The 10,713-nt window shown below is 47.4% G+C and overlaps 1 protein-coding gene across 17 annotated transcripts in view, besides 1 other annotated feature; it reads left to right on the top strand.

Moving 5' to 3' along the window:
• L3MBTL1 (L3MBTL histone methyl-lysine binding protein 1) overlaps positions 1–10,395 on the top strand; it is a 43,258-nt gene extending 32,863 nt beyond the window's left edge. For 8 of the 17 annotated variants that reach the window (NR_165191.1, NR_165196.1, NR_165195.1 and 5 more), the window contains one exon: positions 194–1,336. Coding sequence is in view for 9 of the 17 variants with exons in the window: in NM_001377309.1 (NP_001364238.1) it covers positions 194–349 (156 nt within the window). In the remaining 8 variants the exon portion in view is untranslated. Of the gene's footprint in view, positions 1–193; positions 1,337–7,551 lie in introns of those variants that run through there. The other 9 variants (NR_165189.1, NR_165194.1, NM_001377303.1 and 6 more) reach the window with 3 other exon arrangements.
• Positions 4,109–4,325: a silencer, noted in NCBI's record as "fragment chr20:42173308-42173524 (GRCh37/hg19 assembly coordinates)". NCBI's record gives its function as "represses an EF-1alpha promoter that drives an FKBP-Casp9 reporter gene in an ReSE screen in phorbol 12-myristate 13-acetate-treated (for megakaryocytic differentiation) K562 erythroleukemia cells {active_cell/tissue: K562(+PMA)}" and the evidence as "EXISTENCE:reporter gene assay evidence [ECO:0000049][PMID:32094911]".

Below are 10,713 nucleotides of genomic sequence, written 5' to 3' on the forward strand. Positions count from 1 at the left end.
GCTTCGGTCCCAGGCCTCAGAAGCAAGGGGCCCAACTTGGCACATCTGCCAGCATAGAAACCCTAGGATCCTTTTAGGCTGGTGAGAAAAAGCAGCATTGGCACAGCTCAGAAGCACCTAGGCTGTGGAGGCCAGCTCTCCCTACATGCCTAAGCTCTGTCCCCTGGTCAACATGTCATCTTTGGTTTCCAAGGTCTTCGGCTTTGTTCAGACCCTGACAGGTTGTGAGGACCAAGCACGCCTCTTCAAAGACGAGGTAAGGTGCAAGTGCAGAGTGGGAGACAGAGCCGGGGTCACTGTCCTTAAGACGGCAGGAAGCAGGTGCCCTCCCCAGCGTCACTTCTGCTAAGGAGGGACCCGTGTTGCCCCACCAGGCAAGAATAGTCAGAGTGACCCATGTATCTGGGAAGACTCTAGTCTGGACTGTGGCCCAGCTTGGGGACCTTGTGTGCTCAGATCATCTTCAGGAAGGAAAAGGCATCCTGGAGACAGGAGTCCATTCACTCCTCTGCTCTCTACCCACTCATTTGCTTGCCAAACTTAGCTTTGCCAGTGATAGTCAATATTAAAGTGTACTTTTTTCCCCTTTAATCCAATATAGTTGATAATTAAAGTGTATTTTGAATGACACAGATATTGTGATTTACTGCAAGGATCCTAACACACACTTAAAATCAAGAGCCAAGGAGTAGTGAGTTGTAGATAAAAAAAGAATGTCAGCTTTGGAGACAGTCTGGGTTTAAATCCCAGTTCTGTCAATTTGAGCTGTTTACTGTCTCTGAGCCTACATCTTCTTGTCTGTAAAATGGAGATAAAATGGGTTTAATGAGGTCTACCTTGCAGAGCCATTGTGAGCATTGGAAATGATGAATGAATCATACCAGAACGTCTAGTATAATTACAGTCATGCATTGCTTAACGATGGGGATACATTCTTAGAAATGTGTCACTAGGCAATTCTGTCATTGTGTAAACATTATAGAATGTACTTACACAAACCTAGATGTTATATGTATTTTTATTTACATGTATATTTTCACATGAAATACCAAATGTCACAGCATTATTACTGAATGTCAGTCATTTCCCCTACTTGATCTGCAATGCCAATATCAAGGGCCATGTATCAGGTTTCTGTATATGTTCCACTATAATCTTATGGGACCATGGTTTTAAATGTGGAATCATTGACAGAAATGTCTTTATGTAGCATATGGCTGTGTATCACTAGTATATAATAGAGCAATATTATGGAGGAATATGTAGATCCAATCACTTTACCTATACAAAATGACTGCTATGGTGGGAACACAATAAACACCAGTTTTGACTTTTAGTGCATAGTTGTCCTTAAGTAAAGAACTTTGTCGGCCGGGCACAGTGGCTCACGCCTGTAATCTCAGGACTTCGGGAGGCCACGGTGGGTGGATCACCTGAGGTCAGGAGTTCAAGACCAGCCTGGCCAACATGGTGAAACCCTGTCTCTACTAAAATTACAAAATTAACTGGGTGTGGTGGCATGCACCTGTAGTCCCAGCTACTCGGGAGGCTGAGGCAGGAGAATCACTTGAACTTGGAAGGAGGAGGTTGCAGTGAGCCGGGATTGCACCACTGCACTCCGGTCTGGGCAACAGAACGAAACTCTGTCTCAAAAAACATAAAAAGAAAGTAGTTGGCTCTTCTTGCCCTGGAAGAGTGTCTGTATCCAAGCCCAGCACAGCCAGTTTCCTCCTTTGAGCTGTGTGTGGTGGAGCTCCCAAACTCCTCCCACTTCCAGGTGCTTTCCTTGCCCTCTGTGTTGGTGATCTTCTCTTCATGTACGTGTCCAGAGCTGAACTCCCTGTTTTCGATGGCCTCTGGCCAACATAGAACACACCGGGGTGCTGCTCCCCTAGAAGTGTTTTAATTGAGATAAAATGCCTATAGAGAGATAGGCACACATCTTGAAAGTACAATTTCACAGGTTTTATGACATGTCTGCCCTTGAACTCAACATTTCAATCAAGGTACAGACATTTCCTCTCGTGTTAAGTCATACAAAAAAAATTTAACAAAAAAAAAAAAAAAAAAAGAAAAGAAAAAGATACAGACATTTCCCTCATACCAGAAAGTTCTTTCTCAGCCCCTTTTAGTCAGTCCGCACCCCAAAAGACAACCACTTTTCTAATTTCTAGCGTCATAGATGAGCTTTGCCTGTTCTGGAACTCATATAAATGGAATCATAGAGCATGTACTCTTCTAGGTCTGTCTCTGCACAGTGTCATGTTTTTGAGGCTTCTCCACGTTGTTATCTGTATCTGTAGTTTGTTTATTGCTGACTGGTGTTCCATTTCATGAGTATACCATAATTTCTTGTTAATGGTCAACATTAGGGTTATTTTCTCTTCCCCTAGATTTGAACCCTATTTTTTTGTTAGCAAAACTTAAGTTTGCCCTAGCTTTATTATAGCCACATCACACTAGTTTGGGGTTCATAAAAGCCCCCAGGTGGTTTTCATGTCAACTACAGTCGAACCAAATTTTCCAGTGAGTACTTGCACCACTGAGTTTTTTTTTTTTTAATAACCTCATGTAAAACTTTACATCCACCCTATTAAATGTTATCTGGTTGGTTTCATAGCCTTGTTTTAAATCTTGATTCTGTCATCTACGATGTTAATAAGGCTTTCCAACCTCATACAGCTTGCACATTTGATAACTAAGCCTTCTGTGTCTTTGTCCAAGTCTTAACATGTTTTATGAGAAGGCAGAACCACGTGGCACGCTGTTTCAAACCTTTCTGTCGGTTGACCACAGGTCTTCGAATGTAGTTGTTCAGCCAGCTGCAGAGCCACCCAAGTTTCATCCTCCAGCCTATGCTTGGCTTTACATTCTCTTCTTCTTGTGACAAGGGCTGTGTCTCCCAGGAACATTTGCTGTGTCTCTTGGTTCAGCATGGTCTGTGATATAAAAAACTAGTGGCCAAAGGGAGGTGTACTGGTAGACTGCCAGCATTAAATAGAATCTCAGAGTGGAGCAGGACCTTTATGGGGTCTGAGGATCACCATCTCCAGTGTCTGGCCCATGTCATCAGTTTCCCCATGTAGGACAATGCTCCAGGAGTGGGCTCTCTCTGGCTTAACTGATGATTGGGTATTCAGGGACACCAGTCAAGATGCTCTCCATCTGGGACACAGACCAGCCAGTAGAGGGTTGCTTCATGAGTGAGGAATTAGAGCAAAGTGCATAGATGGTCTTATGGTTGTTCTGTACTGGTGGCCCTAAAAGTAGTCTGTCCAGTCCTCTCTTTGTCATCTTTATTGTAGCCATTGTGTATTTGTCTAATTCATCAGCAAATAATTATTGATGTCTGCTTTGTGCCTGGCCTTGTATAAGGTGATGTGATACTGAAGCAGGTAAGAACAGGTCCCTGCTCTTAAGGTTCTCTGCATGGTAGGGGAGACAGAATTGTAAGTTGTTGCTCCTGGTGGAGTGTGGTAAGGGCCGTGAAAGACACATGTGCAGGTGTCCTGGGAGCCCAGAGGAAGGGGAGGACAGAGAGGGGCCAGTGGGCTCTACTAACTGTGCAGCCAGATGTTTACTGGCAGCTTCCTGCTTCCCAAATGTCTGATTTTCTTGGGCTCCTGGTAGACCACACCTTTCTGCTGTGAAAGCATAGAAGTCCCAGTGGGGTTTTGAAAGTGCCAATTAAATCTTAGCTTGACCTGTGTTAAACATTCCATGTGTGGCTCTCTCAAGATCTATCCAGATCACCTCAATTTTAGGAAATTCCCTGGACCTCTCCACAGCACTGCAGGCTGTTGCTTAGGGTGGATTATTGTATGGCTTATTTTATCCATTTTCCTGTTGATTTCCTCTACCTTCAAGGTCAGAACATGACCCTTTTCCTGATCATATGACTCAAAACTCCCCATACCCACCAGCACACAGACAACATCTTAGATTTTCTGAGGTCATTCCATTGTTCCCTTACCTAGTCTCAGACTGCCAGACCACAGACTCTGGCCTTTGCTTTGAAGAACCTGGAACCTGGGCTTTGGCAGTTACCGTGGGTGAGAAATCTCAGGCGATATACAAGGAACCATATACCAGTGGGTTCTCTGAATGATAAGAACTGAAATCCTGACCGGGGCGGTGGTTCACTCCTGTAATCCCAGCAATTTGGGAGGCCAAGGCGGGCGGATTATTTGAGGTCAGGAGTTCGAGACCAGCCTGGCCAATGTGGTGAAACCCAGTCTCTATGAAAAATTAAAAAAAATTAGCCAAGCATGGTGGTGCATGCCTGTAGTCCAGCTACTCGGGAGGCTGTGGCATGAGAATCGCTTGAACCTGGGAGGTAGAGGTTGCAGCGAGCTGAGATCGTGCCACTGCACTCCAGCCTGGGCACAGAGCAAGACTCTGTATCAAACAAACAACAACAACAAAAGAAAATAAATGAACTCCTGTAAGAATCCATGCTTAACTCTGCCAGGGGTTTCTTTCCTTCATATCCTGAACTTCGAGATCTCCCTGGCCAGGCTTTGTGATTCAATGGGACCATCAAGAAGGAGCCCCAGAGGCCAGGCATGGTGGCGCACATCCGTAATCCCAGATGTCAGGAGTTCAAGAGCAGCCTGGCCAACATGGTGAAACCCTGTCTATACGAAAAATACAAAATTAGCCGGGTGTGGTGGCACATGCCTCTGGTCCCAGCTACTCAGGAGGCTGAGGCAGAAGAGTCACTTGAACCCAGGAGGTGAAGGTTGCAGTGAGCTGAGATCATGCCACCGTACTCCAGCCTAGGTGACAGAGCAAGACTCAGTCTTAAAAAAAAAAAAAAAAGGTGGGGAGCTCCAGAGCCAGACCGGCATGAGGTGTCTGAATCTGGATGTTTCTGCACAGACACATCTGCTGGGGGTCAGCAAAGAGAGCTCCTCAGGTCCAAGGGAGCTGCCTCCTGGGATGACCACTTGGCATCCCCCTCACAGCTCCCAGTGTCTCAGGCAAGCAGTATCTCCAGTGCTTCCCCATCGAGGAGGTGCTGGAGAGAGAATAGAGTGGCAGACTCCTTGAGAAAGGGGGAAATGGGCTTATTCAGCAGACCCTGGTCTTAGACCTGAGAAGCCGCTTTTCACTTGAGGGGTCATTTTAGAGCATTAGAAAGGAAGCTTAATGCAGGTAATCTCATCGGTGTGTTTGGCTACTAGACTTTCATTTTCTTTTGGGGGAAAGGTTTTTAGCCATCAGAAGTGCCAGTTTTCAGAGCCTCCTTGGTTAGTGAATTGGGAAAGATCAGGTAACTGTTTTCTCAGAGCTGCTGGGGGGACAGATATATGGGGTTCATTCCCCCACTCTGTCCTGCCTCCGTTTAACCTCTAAGGTTGCCAGCCTCTCTGAGATACAGTCCTGTTGTCGCCACACCTCAGAGATCCTTTCATTCATTCTTTCTGGATTTACTGAGCACCTGACTTATGTCAGGTAAGCAGCCCCCTGGTGGTCCTGGAAGGCAAATGAAGAAATACATACAATTCAGGGGAGTTTGTGGAACTGTGTGAACTCCAGACAGAGTGGAAGGAGTGGGCAGTTCTGACTGCTGGGGAAGCATGCTGACAGTGGGCAGGCCTTCCTGGCAGGGGTGGTAGAGGGAACAGAGCTGCAAGGCAGAAGACACCCAGTTATTGGGGAAGGGTCTGTAGTGCAGTCTGTGGAGCTAGGTGTGAGGAGGGCTCACTTGGAACTGTGGGGCAGGGCCAGGCTTGGGCAGCATTGCCCCCTGAGCTGCATGAGTCATGTCCATAGGATACCCCTACCCAGCTCTCACAGTGGTTAGGAACACAGGTCAGCACTTATAAGCTAGGTATATCTTGGGCAAATTCTGTAGCCTGTCTGCCTTGGTTTCCTCATCTGTATAATCGAGATAATGCTGGTATTGCTTCATAGGGTTATTGTGAGGATTAACTGAGTTAATACACAACAGGTGCTTAGGAGCAGTGCCTGGCACGTAAGAAACAACATAGAAGTGTTTTCATTGCTATGATGCTTGAGGGGTGAGCATAGGAGGGATGGCGTCTCCTCAAAAACAGCGTCCCCCAGCTCAGTCTCTTGACCCCCACAGCCTGCCTCCCAGCTCTCTTCATTCTATCCTGTCCTCCACAACTGACCAACTGACTTCCCTCCTTGACTCTACCCATATACCTAGCTACTAGAATTAACAATTACTAATATTTTCCATATTTGTTTCACCTATATTTGGATGAAGTAATTTTAAGTAAATTTTAGACATCATGACATTTCACCCCTGAGGACATAACTTGCATCTCTAAAAACTAAGGACTTTCTTTTCATAACCACAATATTGTTATCCCACTACCAAATTGCAAGTAACTCCTTTATATCATCCAATACCCAGTCTGCATTCATATTTCCCAGTTCTCAGGATACATTTTGCAGTTTTTGAGCCAGAATCTGAACAAGGCCTACATAATTGGTTTTGGTTTTTATGTCTCTTAAGTTTCTTCTATTCTAGAAGAGCCCCTCCCATCCTTTTTTTCCTTTTTTAATGACTTTTTTTTTTTTTTTTTTTTGAGACGGAGTCTCGCTCTGTCGCCCAGGCTGGAGTGCAGTGGCGCGATCTCGGCTCACTGCAAGCTCCGCCTCCCGGGTTCACGCCATTCTCCTGCCTCAGCCTCCCGAGTAGCTGGGACTGCAGGCGCCCGCCACCACGCCCAGCTAATTTTTTGTATTTTTAGTAGAAGCGGGGTTTCACTGTGTTAGCCAGGATGGTCTCGATCTCCTGACCTCATGATCCGCCCGCCTCTGCCTCCCAAAGTGCTGGGATTACAGGCGTGAGCCACCGCGCCCGGCCAATTGACATTTTTAAAAGTCTTTCAGAGTGTGGTTTTTTGGATTTGTCTTGTTGCTTTCTAGTGGTGTCACTTAACTTGTTCCTCTATCCCCTGTATTTCCCATGAACTGAAAGTTAGATCCAAAGGCTGGGTTAGACTTAGGTTAAATTTCTCACTGTCACTGTCTCTGTTTCTCTCTCTGTGTCTCTCTGTCTCCCCCTGCCCCCCTCTGCTTTTGGCAAGACTAGTTCCTAGGTGATACTATGTACTTTGTACTGCCTCATGTTGGAATGCACACAGTGTCTGCTTGTCTTGCTGTTAGCAGCACTAAGGTTGACCAATGAGGTCATGTGGGGACAACAAGAGCAGGTTTCTCAAAGCCAGTGTCTGTGAGGACTCAAAAGACATTTTGCGGATACAAATGCTAAACCTCAGACCAGTCAGCAGAAAGAGAGAAAGAGAACAAGTGTGTGAACACGGGGAAACCAGTGGCTGTCTTTCTTTCCTTCTCCGTCCCCATTGCTGTCTTCCTTTTTTCCTTTCTCCCTCCCTTCTCCTTTCTCCCGGTCCTTTCTCTCCCCTTCTCTCCTCCTTCCCTTTCTCCCGCATATCCTTTACTCCTACTCCCCTCCCCCATTCCCCATGCACACCCCTCCCTTTCCTTCACCCCTGCCCCGTGACCCTTTCCACCTTCTCCACTTTCCACCTCCCTCCCGCAACCCCTCAGATGATTGACGGCGAGGCCTTCCTTTTGCTGACACAGGCGGACATTGTGAAGATCATGAGCGTCAAGCTGGGCCCAGCCTTGAAGATCTATAACGCCATTCTCATGTTCAAAAACGCTGATGACACCTTAAAGTGACTGGCCCAGGGCTGGGCCCTCCTGCAGCCCCTGCTTGGCCTCCCTCTCCAGCTGATGCTTTCTTCCTGACCTGAATTCCTCATACCCCACACGTCCCCATGCTCCACCTATATCTGACCAGGCTGGTCCTTCTTAGAGGGTGCATGGGAGCTGAGGAGCCCTGGGGAGGGTAGGCACCCAGCCCCAAGTCCTAGAGCTCATTCGTCACCAGGCATGTTGGTGAGGGCGTGACTGGCAGGGGCATTACTCATGGAGTCAGTTGGACTGTGGCAGCCCCCACAGCCCCAGTGGACTTTTATTGTATTACCAAAGGGTCTTTTTCTTGGCAGTGGAGGAGAGACTAGTAGAGCAGCAGTCCTTCAATCTGAGGCCCCTTTCCCTTTTTTGGTATCTCTGTGTACTTTTCTCTCCTTGGCTCCTTTCCTCCTGCCAAGAAGTGACCCCACCACAAATGTATTTACTCCTGGAGGTACCTCCTCTCTTTCTGTCTGCTGGTTTTGCTGCCCTCATTCTGCTGCTTCGTTTCCTGGGCAGTGCCCCCAGCCAGACCCCACTGGCTCTTCCCCCTGAGATATGTGAACCTCGGAAACATGTTTTCCTAAGATCCCTTGGAAGTCTCTAGCTGCCTTTCTCTCTTTTGCCCAGAATTGAGAGATTTTGAGCCAAGATGCCTTCCTGAACTTACCCAGTTCTGGACCAGTTGGCATTTTAGTGTCCCACGCCAAGTCCAAGTTTCAGCAGAATGAGCAGGTGGTTTGAGCCTGTTTTATAGATGGCAGAGGTTGAGGTTCCACTGCTGTTTTCCATACACCCTTCATGTGTTGAGTCTGGGAAGGAGTAAGCCTAGCCTGCCAGTAGCCTAGGTTAGGAGACCAGCATAAGGATTTGTTAGACAATCTCGGGTCTTTGGCCAGAGGGGCAGCTCCAGCAGGCATAGTGGTGCCTGAAGTTAGGAATACTGTACTCTCTGTAGCTTTGGACCTCAGCCAAGGTATTGCCCATGGGGTGATGGCTCCAGGCCTGCCAGGCCTTCTGCCATGAGAATGTAGCACTCTGTGTAGCACACACCCCCATGACATCATTTAACCTGTCCCTTAAATGTTGACCATTAGCTCTTGCAGCGTCTTACAAAGACGACTTGAAGTTGGGAGTTAGGAAGGTGAACTTTTCTATCTGAATTCTCCGGGTCCCTGAAGCCCTCCTTGCCGCTCTCCATCTGTCTTGCACTGCCAGCTGGGTCCCTGCTGGGGCTCTGGGACTTCCACTTCTCAGTCCACATAGGAACCCAGCTTCCACTGAGTCACTGCCAAACCTGCCTCCCAGCCTGGGTGGGAAGGGGGAGAGCCACTGGTAGGAGCCAGCCCCACATGGAGGTGAGGAGCCACTGCCAACCTCCCGTGTCCAGGTGCTGATGTGGGCCTGCGGAGTGTGGGGCTGGTGCCTTCACCCAGACCCCTTCAATCATGTGATGTGTGTGTGTGTGCATGTGTGTGTGTGTGTGTGTGTGTGGCACTCTCAGAAGTGTTTGACAGGGTGCAGATGTGAGGCTTAGTGTTGGGAAAATGCCAAGGGCTATTATCATTAAAATTTGAAGCTTTATTTTTCCCTTAGAAGTGGGAAACCCAGAGCTCTGTTGATTTCCTACCACAACCCAGTAGGGGCCTCTCTCTGCCATGGGCTGGACAGCTTTTTGAGGAAGCCATTCAGCTCCCACAGTTGAGCTCCCACAGGGCTTTAGGTGTCCATTCCCTCTCAACTGCTTAGAGGCAGCTTTGAGCACAGCCTTCCTGGAAGGAAGCTAGGCAAGACCTGCCACACAGCGAAGGTTGGGTTTACAAGGGTGACATTGGTACCCCCTTGGCCAAGAGTAAAGAAGAACAAGTCTAAGCCTTGCTTTTATCTTAGTTGTCTGGGTGGTAGCAGAACTCATCAGCTCCTTATCCTCAGTCTGTTCCTCTATAAAAGATGAGAGATGTTCACTGACTTTGTGCAGTGAGAAGGCAGCAAGTACTCACGGCTGGTGCTGTGGGACCTCACAGCTTCTAAGGAGAGGGGCTGGGAGGGCCTTTGCCATCAGATCTGCCAAGCACCTAATGCTTGCCTGTGGTGAAGGCAAGATGGACCAAGGGCCTTGGAGAAAAGGGCTCCCAGGCTTCTGAACTTTGAGGCCTCAGCACTTTCTGCATTATCGTCAAACTCTTTGGAAAGAAACCAAATCATTAAAAAGTAGAAAGAAATCTGCCTCTTGTCTGCCCTACTGCCCCTTTACCCCCACTCTGTCCCCAAATGATATTATTGCACCTTGACCTGGGAGCGCAGAGAGGGGAGGGAGTTGGCAGAGACTTCTGGTGCCCTCTGCCCTCCTAGCAACAGATGCCACTTATATTTTGGCCCCTGGCAGCCTCGCCCAGCCCCTGATCAGCCCAGGCCTAGGGCAGTTAGGACCTTTCTGTTTATTTTCTGAAGCAGAGAGAATGATCTCAGAGTTTGCAAATGAAGCCTTTTTTGCACTTTCATTCACATGCACTTTGGTGGGGTTACATTTTTGTACTTGCCTCTTGTGTGTGCACATGTGTGTATGTGTTCTTTAAGAGAATCTTCTGGCTTAAGCTAAGGTGACTCTTGAAGGAGAAAAAGTTACAAACAAAATGTGGTGTGATCTGTCAGTGTATCAAAACAACATAAATAAACTTGAACAACTGATACGCAGCCAGAGTCTGTTTCTATTTTCATGATAAAACATCCAGAGAACACAAAATGGTTATCAGTAGTGGCACTACTGAAGAGACTAAAGTGTTCTCTTTGTTGTTAGTTAGGGGTCCTTATAGTTTTTAAGGAAAGAAACAAAGGATAAGGATAAATGGGTATCTGTCTGCACTGAAAGTGTAAACAGTGGGAACTCCCAGAGATCGGTGTGTAAAAGGGCCTGATCCTTAACATTTGATAAATGGTCAAGGGCAGAAAATTCAATGAAACCTGTAATTTTTAAAATAATAATATCAGCTGGGCACAGTGGCTCACACCTGT

This window comes from Homo sapiens, chromosome 20 (genome assembly GCF_000001405.40).
Source record: "Homo sapiens chromosome 20, GRCh38.p14 Primary Assembly".
Classification (NCBI taxonomy): Eukaryota; Metazoa; Chordata; class Mammalia; order Primates; family Hominidae; genus Homo; species Homo sapiens.